At 48.8% G+C, this 16,209-nt stretch overlaps 1 protein-coding gene across 13 annotated transcripts in view; it reads right to left on the reverse strand.

Annotated features, from left to right (window-relative positions):
• Positions 1,005-16,209, reverse strand: part of FYCO1 (FYVE and coiled-coil domain autophagy adaptor 1) — a 77,922-nt gene continuing 62,717 nt past the window's right edge. For 7 of the 13 annotated variants that reach the window (NM_001386430.1, NM_001386426.1, NM_001386427.1 and 4 more), the window contains 3 exons: positions 14,173-14,383; positions 6,758-6,867; positions 1,005-4,942 (listed from right to left, as the gene is read on the reverse strand). In NM_001386430.1, the coding sequence (NP_001373359.1) occupies positions 4,867-4,942; positions 6,758-6,867; positions 14,173-14,383 (397 nt within the window). In that variant the 3' untranslated portion in view covers positions 1,005-4,866. Of the gene's footprint in view, positions 4,943-6,757; positions 6,868-8,552; positions 11,146-13,929; positions 14,068-14,172; positions 14,384-16,209 lie in introns of those variants that run through there. The other 6 variants (NR_170107.1, XM_047448902.1, NM_001386425.1 and 3 more) reach the window with 5 other exon arrangements.

A 16,209-nucleotide genomic window follows, 5' to 3' on the forward strand; every position in this document is an offset into this window, starting at 1 on the left:
CCTCTGCCACCGGAGTGTTTCAGGAGCCTCTATTCCTGGCAGAGTTAGTCGCCAGTGGGAATGCTGATGACTTTTTGGCGACCCAGGGCACTGGGACTGACCCGAGAGGTCAATTCAGTATTTTTTGAGTCCCTTCCTGCCTGGCATGTTGCTCGATGCTGCGGTGGGGAGAGAAGGGAGGAGGGAGATGAAGATAAAGATGAAGGATTCACTGTCTTTTATCCTTGGGAGAGAACCAGAGTTACAGAAAATGTGACTTCTTCCATGGAGTAACAGATTAAAGAAGAGGCCAAACGAAAGTCTGGCAGCAGGAGAGGGCTGGCGGAGGAAGGGCGGTGAAGGGGTGGTGTGGGGAGGTGTTCTTTTGAGGTGCAGAGCACTGCAGGGACAGAGCCCTGGTCATCCCTGGAGTGGGGGTGTGAGGTGAGTGTGGGTGGGCTGCCCAGCCTGAGCTCAGTCCAACATCCAGCAGTGACCAGGGCATGCCCCTCTGGGCCTCTGTCCAGGCTCTTTGCTGACCCAGCCAGAGAAAGGTATGCGGGAATGGGAGGGCTGACTTCTTCCTCTGCCAGCCATCTCAGCCTGGCAGTCTTGCCCAGCTTTGTACCTCATATTGACCAATCATGGTTTTAGGCCATCCATGATGCTTCTCCCCAGCCCCATTGTTCCGGTAAACTCAGAAGTCTGCTCTTTGCTCAACATGCTCTGTGGGTGCCCTGGGAGATCTGGACATTTGAGCTGAGGCTAGAAGCCCATAGGGCACAACAGCATGGATTGAAAGACAGGCTGTCTCAGGCAGGTCTAAACACCACCCTCACAGCAGGCCAGGAAGCAGCCAGGTGCCAGGCCACCTGGAAACTTCCCAGAACATCTGCTGGCTCAAGTCCTCCTGAAAAGCCACCATAAAAGATGCTCTATTTCCCAGCAGCACAGCTCAACCCCAACTCAGCTCTGTATAACTTCGTGGTGCACTTTATGTCCCAAAAAAATGAGAGACAAATGTCTAAATGTCATAGTGTTTACTTTATTTAAATCCTGAGGTTAAAAATAAAGTATTTCCACATGGCATGGCAGACACTATAAAATAATATGCTTAGGGATACAAAAGTTTTCCACCCCCATTGAGCAGGTGGGGTGCTGGTATTTGATGTGCTTCTAGATAATTCTTTGGCAGATAAGAATGAATTGGGGTCCCAGACCCACCATCCCGTAAGGCCACATGAATTGAGGATTAATCAATTAAAGTGCAATTCCAAATGTTGAGCCTTCCAAATGAGGCTTGGGTATTGCTCTGCAGCCACCAGAGGCAGAGTGTCTCTGCATAACATACATCAAGCAGCCTTTTTCTTTTTTTAAATCAGAGATGCCTCCCCAAATTTCAAGATGTACTTTATTATTTTAAAAGTGCTTAAGAGGAAAGAGAGAATTATTAATTCAGTCTCTCCTGTTTCCTTGGAAGAAACATAATGAAATGAGAAGAACTTACTAAAGTTCCCCTACAAAGTGCTTTCTTGGTAAGTGTTTTGTAAACAAGAATGGCCGTCTCGATGGTCTTTGTGTACATGACCATCCTTGGTTCTAAGCATCACGAATGGCTTCTCTCTGCTTTAATTCCCAACACCTCTGAGCCAAGGACAGTTTCTTGGCCTAAAGAATTCTCATATGTAGAATCATGCGCACTTTTAAAACTGAAACTCCTTTAAAATTTCATCAGTGGACATCCAACCATATCATAAAACACAGGCTCTGTGATTTCATCCCCAACTGGCGATTTCCTTTCATTTGGGCCTGAAATAGTTTCACCACCTTCGATGATAATTTTAAAATTTCCAAAACACCATTTATTCTTGAGTTATATGACGTGGCTTTTCATTTCTATTCTCCAAACCCTGTGGAGTTTTTCAGTTCCCGTGTCTTTGCCTGCTCTTGGTCCAGTCCACCTGGAATCCAGTGTGTTGAGGTCAAGCACTCTGTAGAGTCCACTTGGACCTGGAGGACAACACTTTGTGCCAAACGTGCCTCCTTGTTTGTGGGTAAGTGAATCTGACAGAGGTTGGCATGTTCTTGAAGGTGGTGAGTGGCTTCAGTGGCATGATGAAGAAGGCATCTGGTATCGATATGAAGACGTAACTGTTATTCAGAGAGATGAGCCATCAAGGGGCTGCCCCTTTTAAAAAAAAAAAAAAAGAGTGATCTGGGATCCCAAGGACGCTTCCTTCTGGCTGATTTCTAGTGTAATTCAGTCTAGCCAGGGCTACCACCTGCAGCAGTGGTTCTTCAATTGCTATTTGCATTTCTTTAAAGTACCCCAGTCCTTAATTCTCAGTAAAGTTGGGAATCTGATTAATATCAGAATAAAGCTATTTATAAAAGCCACTCTTAAATATGCCAAGATGTTTTGTAGCTGCAGAGAGCACAGCAAACTTGAGCTTAAACAGCAACCTAACAAAATACAAATGTCCACCCAGCACAAAAAATAAATTCGCTAATGAAACCACATAGTTAGGAAGTCACCTCAGGGCACGGGGCAGTCCTCCGAATGCAGCAAAGGCTTTTTTTGAACAATAGCAGTCAGTGCTCAAGGTGTTGCACGCAAAACATCCAGCTCTCCTGGAGGAGTGGTTCTGGGTAAGCTGCAACCGGTCCTCTGCTGTGGAGTGACATGTTCAGGAAGGACCTCAGATGGAATGTCCCAGGCCCCAAACCCATTAGCTACTCAGTGAATGGTGGTTCTTGTTGCATATGGTGCCAGTGACACTTCAGAAGGTCATCAGCTTGGCCAGAGTCTCCGCAGTATCCTTGGAAAGCCAAGCACTCAAAGATTCTAGATTGCTCTGGGTTCTCTTTTGTTAGTTTCTTTCTAACAGTGAACAAGCTGACTTCTGATTATCATTTGCAAGTGGCTGGATGGATTCAAAGTTAGCATGATTTGTTCTGAATCATCTCAGGCCACGTGGCATGCCTGTGAGGACAAACATCAGGCCAAGAAGAGTCGCTGGGGGCCTGGCCACCTCTATTCCAGTACTAAGCATGGTCAGAGCCTTGGCCAGGAGAAGATGATTGAGCACCTGATGGCTTTCTGCCAGAAGAGGCTGCTCCAAGGAAGCCGAATGCAAGAGGCCCAGCTTTTCTCTGGGCAACCTCTTTGAAAGGTTCTATTCCCTGTTCCCCATGCCTTGCTTAAAAACTGACTGGAAGTGCTCAACTCTCCTGTTTAAAGGTCTGAGTCCATTCCAGAAATGACCTCTTACTTGTGGCCCCACAAAAGTCCTCTTTGTTGGTGGTGAGGTTGTGGCTGCTGGTGTGTGGTGGGTTTGGGGTCTCTGTTGGACTTGGCCTGGAGTCCCTGACCCATTCTCAAGCCCTCAAAACCAGCCAGACCAGGGTTATGACAAAGAGAAACTTTGGGAAATGTGTGACTGGACTTAGGTCACAAGGGTAGCTGGAGGAACTGCCGGGCCCAGCTCTCAGATTCTCGGATAGCCTGTCTGGTGCTCTCTCCCTCACCCCTGGCCAAACTGGGACCTTTTGTCAGATGCTCTGTTCACCCATGGAAGAACCTGGGGCCTGACTGCAGGCAGCTGGTTCCATGAACAAGGGACGAAGAGCTGTCCAAGGTGAGCTATCTGTTGTTGGGGAAGAAAAGGACCACAGAGAACAGGGAAGATTAAATAATTCTTGTCTGGGAATAGGGAACAGGATCTCTCTGCCTCAAGGGGGGATGTCTCCTGGAGGTCTGGTGTGGGCTGAGCAGTGGGAAGTGGGCAAATGGGCTGTTGGGGAACCTGTCAGGAGGGGAGTGGGGCCCAGGGATCCATCATGCCTCTGTTTACTCTGTTACTTTGGTTCTTAAGTTATCAAAGACTTTTGTTAAGAAGGCCCCAATGTTTGAAAGTGGTTCTAATCCTGGCTATGATCATTAGTAAACATGTCTGCAGGTGGGGCAGAAGCTCTTATTTATATAAACAAAAGTGGGCCATCAGCTGAGGAGTAGCTCTAAAGCCAATGCACAATCCTGCTCTGTGGTCACAACATCCACACTGGCTGGCATTTGGGCATTAGATGTAGTGTACACACAGCCATTGCAGGCCCCAAGTACAGTGGGTTTTGCTCTTGGATTATCTTTACTTCTGATTCTTAGGGCAATGCTTTGAGCTGTGGAGAGGTCTGGCTGAGTGAAGGGCTTTATTTGAGGACAGAATCACCCAGACAAAAGGGCCAGAAAGAGAGTGCAGCTTAGAGGCCCCTCCAACACTGCTGAGTTCTGGAGCAGCCTCCAGCTTACTGGGGCAGTGAGGGACAAGAGCATGACTGGAGGAGCTGGTCAGGATCTCCGGGGGGTCCCCTGGCACCGACTCGCATGATGGCTGTGTACCTCCTTTTCCCAGGAGTACCTGAGGGCGTCACAGCCTGAGGATTCACAGGGCATGGCCAGTGCACCCAGCTCAGTCTCCAACATGCAGGGCCCTGGTGGGGCAGGGCAGAAAATCTCTCCACAGGCAGAAGTTGGAATCACCCCTGCCCGTGAAACTCTCCACAAGAGGCCTGTAGCCAACTGTGCTCCCAGGAGAGGCTGATGGTCTCCTGGGTGTTTAAACCTTTGGCAGAGCATCCCTTTGGGTGTGACAACAGCTGAGTCTCTACTTAATGGAAACATTGCCTGAGCCCTTCAACGCCTCGGGGGCTAAGAGTGGCCGGTGCAGAGTGCTGAGCACAAAGTCCTCCCCAGACACCGCCTCTGAGGGGCAGCCCAGGGGCTGAGTTGATGATTTTGGAGCAGCTGACTTTTTAAAAAAATGCTTTATGTGACAGGTGAGGAAGAGCAGTGTTTCCTGTGGATGAAGTGAAGTTACTGAGGTGCTGAAGCTACAGGAAATCACTTCCATCGTAGATCACAGGCCGATCAACCGTCAAGTGATAAAATACCTTTTTAGAGACAAACCTGAGGAAACAGAAATGGAAAGGGAGGGTGTTACCTGAGAGCTGAAAGTCCGAGGGGTGGCAGCTGCTGCTGAGGCCTCTGTGGTCACTGCAGTGACCTGGCTGGGTGTGGGTGCTGGAGCCCCATGCCCCATTTCCTGTCTGTCTAGTGGAGTTCTCTCCCTGGGAGGGTCAGAGGGTTTCGGGACATCACTGTGGACTCTCCTGAGGCTTGGGTGCAGAAATGCCCTTTTGATCACAGGCTGTGAATATCACCTCCCTCACCTGGCTGCTCTGAAGCAGCTGGTGGTGGGGACTGCACAGTGTGTGTATGGTGGTGTGAGGAGCAGGCAATGGGAGGAGGCATATGGTGGAGGCCAGCACGGATTTTTTCCTACTCGGCAGCTAACTCAGTTCTGATATCCATAGTTTGGAAATCTCAAGTAGGCCCCTGAGATGACCTCGATGGGCCAAGGCCAGAGTTTGTCACAGCACCATGGCCACCTCTAGGGATAACTGGGAGCCTGCTCGGGCTTGGGACGGTGCTCTGCCCTCATCACATCTCTCCTTGGTCTCTCCATCAATCCACAGTGTGGTTGCCACTGCAGAGTAGGAAATGGAGACTCAACTAAGGGCCGCTGGGGGAAGAGCAGAGCTTGGGCCTGGTGGTCCCCAACCCATTCTCCTAACCACTGCCCTATCCTGTTCAAGAGGGGCTGGGGCTCATGTCCACTCTTGGGGTAGAGGGTGGCTCCAAAGAGAGCTCTCTGGCCATGATAGGTCTATGCCATGAGGTCCTGCTAACTCCAGGGGTGCTTTCATTTCCACTTGGGAGTGTACGGAGGGGCAGGAGGGGGTGAGGTGGGAAGTTCATCTTCCAACCCCTCCTCTGGTGGGCACTCTTGGCCACAAGCCCTGGCAGTTCAAGGCCTGGAGGTGGTGAGGGGATGACTCAGGTTTTCCCTAGTGTCCTGTCTAGTTATTCTGCTAAGAGCCAAGTACCCATGCTGGGGATGTGACCGGTAGCCCAGGACCTTGCTCAGAGAGGATGTGGCCAGAAACAGATCAGGCAGTTCTCTCTAAAGAGCTGGTTCCAGTTAAGGGGTCTGTGCTGAAGCAGAAGACATAAACAGGGGCAGGTGCCCAGCCCCTCTCCAAATGATTGGCAGATACTCAGTCAATGCTGGTCCTGTCTCCACTCCCCTCCTGCTATCCCTCTGGCCTCATCTCCCTCCATTCTCATTCTCTTGTCCAGCTTCTCCCCCATCTCCCAACCTATACACTCCTGAACCTTAGCTGGTTCTCAGAGTGCTTCCCAGAGATGGCACCTGTCGCTCCCGCCACATGGCCAGGGGCTTTGTGGTGCAGTTTTGGGCTTGCTTATCTCAAGCTCTGCCCTTCCTTCTTTTATTTCTCCCTTTCTCGTTCATTCATTCATTCAGTCTTTCCATTGTATTTCCTAAGCCCCTTCTTTGGGCAGGGCAGTGGCAGAGCAGTGGGAATCAATATCAGAGAGAGGGAAAGGGCACCTTGGTTATGAAGAGTTCAGACTGGCCAGACCGCCTGGTTCAGATCCAGCTCCACCACTGGCTCTGTGACTTAGGAGTGTCACTCCTCTACCCCTCAGCAGTGACATGGTAAGACTCTGCAAGCATGAGCCTGTGTGTCACAAAATCTCTAAAGAACACTGGAACACCACAGGAGAGGGGTCAACAATCAAAGAACAATTAATAATAAGTTACTGACAAATAATTGGTTTTGAGTGTCCACCTCTGCTCTTTAGAAGAGGTGAAAGAGAGGCCTGGAGACGTGGAGCTGGTGCCTGAGGTGGCCCTACCTTGAGAAGGTATTGTCGAAGATGAGCATGTAGATGCCGGGTGTGCGAACCTTGAGCTGGCCCTGGATGTTCTCCTTGTGGGAGTTGCATCGGGTCGTGGGAATGAGGACCTGGGAGGGAAAGCAGGTAGGCAAAAACATCACAGAGGCTGAGAGGGCCCTCGGCATCCTCAGGGAAGACCCTTTATTTTGGGGTAGGAGGCTGAGTGTGTTGCCTGAGGTCACAGATGAGCAGAGCCGGAGCTGTGACCAGCCCCAGTAGTGGCACAGTGCCATCCCACAACCTGAGGCTGTTGATGACTCGTGGCTATGAGTTTCTTCCAGAATCATGACTTGGTCAGCACCCTTAAGGAGTGATCCCCTAGCCTTGAACATAGAAGATGCTAGAACACTCCATGGGCTAAAGGAGAAGCCCTTTTCTGCCTTCAGGATATGAAGCTTAGTCTAGGTGGGATCCATCTGTCCAGCTGTCTCCTGTTGGTCCTGGTGCTGCCCTTGGGTCTCGCAGGACAGGCTGAGACCTCCTTCCAGATAACAATCTTCCAGGCACAAAGCTGCTGGGCCCACTCTCCTCCAGGCTCGACATCTCTGGCTCCACCTAGGCCTGTCTCCTGGCTGTGCTTTGGCTGGTCCATGTGCCCCAGGACCCTTTCATCTTCCCGTGCCTGGGCCTCAGCCTCCTATTCACTCTCTGCCTTCCCTGAGAATGAGAAATTAGTCCCAGGAGACACTGATATTGATTTTTTTTTCAGACGATTTTTGAAGGGCCTCACTGTCAGAGACAAAATCTGTGCAAAGGGTGTGTGCTAGACAGGGCCAGGGCTCAGAGGGAGGTCTTTGAATGGCTCACTTCTTCCCCACCAGGGCAGGCTCTTCAACCTACTTACCAGCTAAGACACAGGCCTCATTTTAAAACTGAAAATATTCTAGGAGATAAGGCAGAGCCAGTCAACATTTTTTTTTCCTTTTTTTTTCTGAGATGGAGTCTTACTCTGTTGCCCAGGCTGGAGTGCAGTGGCATGATCTTGGCTCACTGCAATCTCCACCTCCCAGGTTCAAGCAGTTCTCCTTTCTCAGTGTCCCGAGTAGTAGGGATTACAGGCACCCACCACCATGCCCAGCTAATTTTTGTATTTTTAGCAGAGACGGAGTTTCACCATGTTGGCCAGGTTGGTATCGAACTCCTGACCTCAGGTGATCTGCCCGCCTCAGCCTCCCAAAGTGCTGGGATTACAGGTGTGAGCCACCATGCTAGGCTAGAGCCAACCAACATTTAAAAAAAATTTTTTTTTTAAGATGGAGTCTCACTCTGTTGCCCAGGCTAGAGTGCAGTGTCGTGATCTTGGCTCACTGCAACCTGTGCCTCCTGGATTCAAGCAATTCTCCTGCCTCAGCCTCCTGAGTAGCTAGGATTACAGGTGTACACCAACACACCCAGCTAATTTTTGTATTTTTAATAGAGACAGAGTTTCATCATGTTGGCCAGGCTGGTCTCAAACTCCTGACCTAGTGATTCACCCGCCTCGGCCTCCCAAAGTGCTGGGATTACAGGCGTGAGCCACGGCGCCCAGCCCTTACATTTTTTTTTTTTTTTAAGAAGTGACTAGCACCTAGAGGATCTTGTCTTATAAAGTGTCCCTAAGCCTTCCATTTAAGACTGACTACACATAAATGGTTATATGGACCAGAAGGTCTACAGACAACGGAAGCAGCATCTTAGCAACTTTGAGTTCCTAATGAGGTAAACTTCCCCAGAAGTGACCATTTTTATTCTTTACAAAATAAAATGTAGCTTCTTTTTCAGAAATACAATTTTTATTAAATTCAGTTTTAATTTTTTCCCATTAAACATTTTTAACTTGTACAAAATGACTGAATCCAAAATAGTTGTTAATATAAGGATGCGATTACTTTCTCAACTTAATCTTGAACACAGCTGCATCTTTCTCTAAACTCTACATGTTGGGTACACAGTTCCCAAAGTGAAGTGAATTCCCACAAAGGACTCTGCCCTCAGGACTCTTGTGGTTTAATGGTGATCACAGAGAAGAAAACATTCAGTTACACTGGGGTGAGAGTACCATGAGGGGAGAACCGGCAAGGGGTGCCATTCTAGCATCTGGGTGGGAGAGAGGAGGCTGAATGCCAGGGGAAACTTCTTGGAAAAAGTGATGCTGAGTTAGGACAATTTAGCCAATGAGAAGGGATCTGGCTGTTCCTGGCAGTGGAGACAACATATTTAAAGGCATGGGAGAATATCTAAGATTTACCCTCCCAGGACACAACAACACAACAATAACAACAACAAAAACAACAAAACAAAAAATAGAAAACATATGAAAGGACAGTTTTCAAGACACTGGTTATCAGGCAATGCAGGATAGTGATCCCTGAGAGACAGGAATAGGGTGAGCCCAACAACTGCCCTCACTTAGTGAGGAAGAGAGACAAAAAACAGATGGGATAAGAGAAAATGAATACCAAGATGGCAGACTCAAACCTAACCTTAACAGCAATCACAGTAAGTGAAAATAGCCTAAACATTCCAATGAAAAGGCAGAGATTACCAGACTGGATAAAAGCAACACCCAACCCTATCATGCCTACAAGAAATGCAATTTAAATATAAAGACACAAATAGGTTAAAAGTAAACAGATGTAAACAAGATTACCAGGCTAGCATGCTAACCAAAAGAATGCTGGTTTGACTGTATTAATATTACATAACACAGCTTTTATATCAAAGAATATTACCAGGGATAATTTCATAATGATAAATATGTCAGTTCATTAAAAGGACAATAATCCTAAACGTTTATGCCCCTAATGACAGAGCTTCAAAATACATGATACAAAAAGTGGTAGAATTGCAAGGAGAGATGGACAAATTCACAATTATAGTTGGAGATTTCAATACCTCTTTCTTAATAATTGATAGAATAAGTAGACAGGAACTCAATGAAGAAACAGAAGACGAACACCACCATCAACTAACTTGACCTAATTGGCATCTATAATAGAATATTCCGGCCAGGCACGGTGGCTCACGCCCGTAATCTCAACACTTCGGGAGGCCGAGGTGGGTGGATCACCTGAGGTCAGGAGTTCAAAACCAACCTGGCCAACATAGCAAAACCCCATCTCTAATAAAAATACAAAATTATCTGGGCATGGTGGCGCATGCCTGTAATCCCAGCTACTTGGGAGGCTGAGGCAGGAGAATCGCTTGAACCTGGGAGGCAGAAGTTGCAGTGAGCTGAGATCGCGCCATTGCACTCCAGCCTGGGCAACAAGAGTGAAACTGTCTCAAAAAAAAAAAAAAAAGAACGCTCCACCCAACAACAGCAGAAGGTACATCCTTTTCAAGTGCACTCGGCACATTCACCCAGGTAGGTCACATTCTAGGCCAAGCTTGTCCAACCCGCGGCCCAGGAAGGCTTTGAATGCAGCCCAACACAAATTCGTAAACTTTCTTAAAACATTATGAGTTTTTTTATTTGTTTTTGTCTTTGTTTTTAGCTCATCAGCTATCGTTAGTGTTAGTGTATCTTATGTGTGGCCCAAGACAATTCTTCCAACGAGGCCCAGGGAAGCCAAACGATTGGACACCCTTGTTCTAGGCCATTAAGAAAACACCTCTCAAACTTCAAAGGATTCAAGTTATACAAAGTATGTTCTAGGTCTACAATGGAATTAAATTAGAAATCAAGAGCAGATCTCTGGAAAATCTCAAAATATTTGAAAACTAAATAACAAATTCAAACGTGTGGATCGAAGGGAAATCAAAAGGGGAATCAAAAAGGCATGGGAGGGAGAGCGAGCATTGTGTTCCTAACACAACAGTGTGCTTGCTCAGGCTGGCAGCTGGTAGTGGTGAGGGAGTAGGACGGGCCCCTGACAAGGCTGGAGGGGACAAAGGTGTACAAAGAGTGTACACTGAGGGCCTGCTACACGTAGGCTCTGTGCTGCCTCTTCTGCACACGGCGTCTCATTTACTTCCATTAATATTCTATCACATTCTAGTTCCACCAGGGACTAAGGATCCCGGGAGAGTGAGGGGTTGGTTCTGTTTCTGTGATCCACAACCTAACAACTCTGGCCTGGTCTCAGACACTGCAGCAGGGGTGTATGGGAAGGAGCTGCTGGAGGGGAAGGCTTGCTGTTTGCATGGGGACCTTGGTGTGCCCACCCTGCACACCCTCGCACTCACTACCTTGATTACAAGCAACATCAAGAGCTCCTTAAGGCAGGTCCCCTGAAGAGGGCATGTTTAACATAGATTAATGTGCGTTCTTGAAAATGATACTCTTCATTTCTTTAAAACATCTTACTCTGTAGCCTTTTCATTCATTCCAGCTGTTTTTCATTCATTCCATTCACATGAAACATCTAGAATCAGCATATCCACAAAATAGATTAGTGGTCACTGGGGGCAGAGGTTGGGGAGTGACTGCTAATGGGCACAGAATTTCTTTTTTGGAGTGATGGAAAGAATCTAAAATTAGACAGTGGTAATGGTGGTACAACTCTGTGAATATACTAAAAACCATTAAACTGTACATTCCAAGTGCGTGAGTTATATCTCAATAAAGCTGTTTTAAAAAACAAAGTCAAGGGTCCTTGCTGTCAGCTGATTCCTCCTCTGACTCCCTCTGAAGCCCACCCCAACAGGCCATCGACCTCTGGCCAAAGACGGATCCTCTGCCCAGAGAGAGGACAGAGTCTGGATCCAATTCTCCACTTTGTCCCTGGGCCTCAGGCCAGCGGTGTGTACACTGGTAACCTGGTTCATAATTTCTTTCATCAAGTGCCTCCCCTAGATTCACACTCTCCAATCTCAGTGTCGAGTCTATGACTATAATGGAGGAAGTGGGTCTGGAGAGAGGGTGGCACAGGGTGGAGAGTGTCTGACAGGTGCCCCTAGAAACGGGGCTGGCCTTCTGCTGTGCTATTCCATCCACCTGGATGCTTCTCCTCAAGCCCACAGGTCCCTCGCCTCACCTCACAATGCTGCTTCTGGTTTCCTCCACTGTGGTCTTCATCATCGCCCAGGGGTCTCCTTTCCTCATCTCTGTTCCCCAGGCTGGGCTAGGCATCCTTCCCAGGGGTACCCACAGTGCCCACCCACCCCTGTCATGAAACCACCTGGAATCACAAATGTCTATTTATTAGAGTCTCTCTCTGATTACACAGTGAGCTCCTCAACGGGAGATCCCATGTTATCCCTTCATCTTTCTATCCCCCGTGGGCCCTACAGAGTCCAGTATACAGGACACACTCAATAAATGGTTGCAAATACACAGCATAATTCCTTGTGTCTATACCTCCGTAATCATGAAGTCTGAGTGCTGCAATTTGCACTGCATCTGTCATTTCCTCTAAGGCCCAGGCTGGTCAGGAGTGCACTCGGGGAGTCCCCGGGATAGATATTGAGGGCACATGTCTGGAAACAGGCTACCCTGGCCATGGTCTCTTTGGGGGACCTCAGGCAGAGATAACAGCCACCCCCATCTGTGGTTGGTGACAGTGGCCTGTGAAGGCAGAGGAGCACCTAAGCATCCTGTACACGGGCCCCTTCTGCCCCCTGGTGTCACTGTGGGGAAAGGCAGTGGGGCCCCCTGGAAGCTAGAGGAGGAAGGCTCAGTAGGTCCCCAAGTTCCTGATTCCTGGTAGAGCCACACAGGAACCCCAGGCTGCTGAGGACTCGGTGGGTAGGGACTGAGCAAGGGGAGAGGCCCACAGCCCAGCCACATATGGGCAGGCAAAACAGCAAAGGCCTGGATCCCTGATTTCGTCCCTTCCCTCCCTGCCACAAACACTCACGGTGTCTGATCTGGGTGGATTCAGGGCTGGGGGCCTGGTGGGTCTGGGGAACGTGATGGTGAGTGGCAAGGGCAGCTCTTGGCAGTGCTGCCGTTTGTTAGTGTGGAGCTGACAGGCATGTTGGCCGCACCAGGACCTCCTGGGTGGGGGCTCAGAACTGCTCAAGAAGGAAGGGCTCCAGAGGTAGGTAGGAGGAGCTGGCTACAAGCCCCAAAAGAATAAGATGGGCAGAGCGGTTTTAAATAAGACAGAATATGAGATTCCAATAAACAAGGCCAACCCAAGGGAGTAGAGTTACATTTTGAGAGTGAGTTTGAAAAGCAGAGAAATGACAAAAGCGATCCCTGCATTGAGCAGATTCCAACAGGGCAGGATGGCAGGAGAGCAAACCCAAACGGGTACGTGTTCCTCTATGGGATGCCAGCGCCACAGCAGGAACTGCTGTGTGGCCCAATGTGTCTCCTAGCTGGGCTCTCCTGCTCTGGGCCCTCCTCATCCCTCAGCCTCAAGCCCCTCGAGGGCACCCAGTGGACCAAACACACAAGGGACTATTAGATGTTTCTGCAAAGACTTCACAGAACTCTTGTTTCACATGACTTCAGCTAGCTTTTCCCTATCTTGATCCTTGCAATTCTTGCAAAATGGAGATTTCTGCAGTCATATTCCCAGACTAGGATCCATTTTCAGCTCCAGTCCAGCAGGCCCAACGGCTTTTACCATTTCTTTCACTCAGAATGATTCAAATGGAACTTGTGTTTCCATGCAAACCATCTCTCCCTCCCATATCCCTCTACACCCTTTCTCTGCAGAGATGCAGGCATCAAATTCAGACCTCAGGCATGGGTCTCCCTTCTCCTTGCCCCATACTGAATCAGCCACCCATGGAGCCCTGCCCAACCTCTGTCCCTGTGGTCTGGATTCCACCTCATCCTTTCCACTTTGGCTTCAACCCCCTGATCTACACCAGTGGTTCTCAACCTTGGCTGCTCATTGGAATCACTTGGAGATGTCTGGATCCCACCCCTAGAGACTCTAATTTGCAGCCAAGGTTGAGAACAACAGTCCGGGCACTGTCAACATTCCATGCCTAGAATGTCTTAGGAATTTATAAACTGGTACCTGCCACCAAGATTTCAAGCTCGACCACCCAAGTGACATTGGGGTTGTCTCTACTGACACCTTTCCGGGTTGAGATGCACCCTAAGCTAAAAACTAGAGGAAGAGAGGTCACCACCTCCCAAGGTGATCCATTCCTGCTTTGCACAGCTCTATTAGAAAATGATCCTTAAATTGAGTCATACGTCTGTATTCCTCTTTCACCTACCCATCTATCCCAAGGGCAGACTGTACCTGTTTCACACAGGTGTGACCTTCAGACATTTGAGAACAGCTTTCCAGAACTTCTGGGTCTTTCTCTCCCCAAACTGGACAAGGCCCAGGTGCTCTGCCTTCTCTGCATGATACTGCCCAGAACATTCCAAGTGAGGCCTGCCCAGCAGAGGATAGGATGGCCACTGCCCTGCTTTGAGAAAGGCCTGCCCAAGTACCCAGATGTGTGTGTAAGGAGCCCACAGGCAGGGAGCCCAGCCTTACCTTACACTGATCCAGCGGTGTGTCCTCGGCCTCCTGGAAGACCACACTGAAGGAGATGCTCTTGGGGTCAGAGGAGAAGACCCAGCTGATGGTGAGGCCTGCCTCGGCCACAGTGATGGGGATCAGGCTGTAGGTGCTGGACCTCACAAACAGCTCCCTGCTACCCTCCCCGAAGCTGGCGATCTCATCCACTGTGAGGGGTACTTTGATCCTAAAATAAAAATACAGAGAGGGACCTGATTGACTGGGCAAAGTGTTTGTGTCCACTGGCCAGGTCATCTGTGGCTCAGAGGTGGCTGGAGACTTCGGAGACTCTTGAGAGGACAAGCCCTGGGTAACCTTGGCCAACATGCTTAATTATGGGATGGGCAGCTCACTCCAACAAATGCTTCCTGAGCGCTAACTACATGCCTGGCATAGGTCTAGGCACGGAGGAGACAGCAGTAAAAAATACAGATGACACCTTTGCCTGTGTGGAGGTTAAAGCCCATGGGAACTAAGGAACTGAGGATGGCCTGACCTGCTCCACGGCCCTCATGGACAGGAAGCAAGTGCCGAGGCACAGCTTTTTGCTGCTCTCCTGAAGATGCCCTGCTGCTCAGCCATCTGTTTTTTCTCTGCCATTTCTCCTTCCAGTTCCCTGCCTCGCCCTTTCACCTAATTAGTACAAGCCTCCCAGCCTTCTGATATAGTCCATCTTCTCAGCTGCATCTGGCGTCCATTGTAAGATTCCACATGGACACCCTGACCTTTCCTCAAATGCCAACATCCCATACTCTTTATAATGCAAGGGTGGTGCAAGTAATACAACGGTTTTGGGGAGAAAAGCTTGTTCTTACTCTCCCTGGGTAGATAAAAGCTTCTTCAAGAAGTTTATAAGGTTCATTGACAGTGAGTTCCTCTGTTTTTGGGGTTCTGTGCTGGACCCAGAGTGTGACGTGAAGAATGTGAGGTTAGGGGCCAAGGGACCTGCCTCACTGCATCCCTGCTGCATAAGCCTCAGTTTCTTCATCTGCCAAACAAGGACAACCACACCTGCCTCAGGACTGCTGCAAGGACTAGATTACAAGATGAACCCAGGGAGCTTGCTCCTCAGGGCCCCTTCCAGGCCGAGTGGCACCACTCCTACACTGTGCAACTCTGGAGGCAGCTAGGTTAGCTCATGATCATGGAGACAGAGCCTCCAGTGCAGAGCTGCAACTTAGGAGCAGTGTGGCCTTGGGTGAGTCACTCACTCACTTTGAACCTCGGTTTCTCAACTGTGAAATGGGAAGGTGGCGGCCATCATAGGCCACGCCCTGTGCTCAACAATTTTGCATGTTACTGCAATGGCTCCTTGAGGAAGGCATGACTGTTGCCATTCTACAAAAGAGGAAACTAAGATTCTAAAAGATTGAGAAATTCAATCCAGGCTCACACAGGTCTGAGGCAAAGCCATCATCTTCCTACCATACCAAACTGCCTTTTGTGGAGAAAATGTATTACTATCCCCTTTAACACAGGGGAGGGAATTAACTTCAAAGAGGTTAGGTAACTTGCCCAACACTGCGCAGCAAGTGGTGGTGCTGAGCGTTCATCTGCCTCCAAAGCTGTGGAGATGAATGGACAGACTCCCCAAAGCTAATGAGAACGGTAAGAAATGATTAAAAAACCAGGATGCTTTAAAGAACAGCTCCAATACTCACCTTTGTGAGAATTCAATTCAATGCGATACTTCTCCATGTGTTAAATTTTATTTCTAATTAAGAACCCTCGACCAACATTTACAATTTTCAAGAATCTGAGGGCAGGTTTGGGGGGTCCATTCTGGAACAGACATCTTTCTTGTAATGTGGAAATCTTACCATATTACCATGTAAAAAGTCACTTACCCTGACATAATGCCCCATTAATACATTAATGCTGGAGCATTTTATAATTTTATGCTCCAGAATTCTCCCCTGGCACCCAGGTATTTGGATTGTGCCTCAATCATCTAGTCTAGACATCATCTAGACATCATCTATTCAGTGACAAGGACAATACTCAGCCTCTCCA

The sequence above is a fragment of the Homo sapiens genome, chromosome 3, assembly GCF_000001405.40.
Source record: "Homo sapiens chromosome 3, GRCh38.p14 Primary Assembly".
Taxonomy (NCBI): domain Eukaryota; kingdom Metazoa; phylum Chordata; class Mammalia; order Primates; family Hominidae; genus Homo; species Homo sapiens.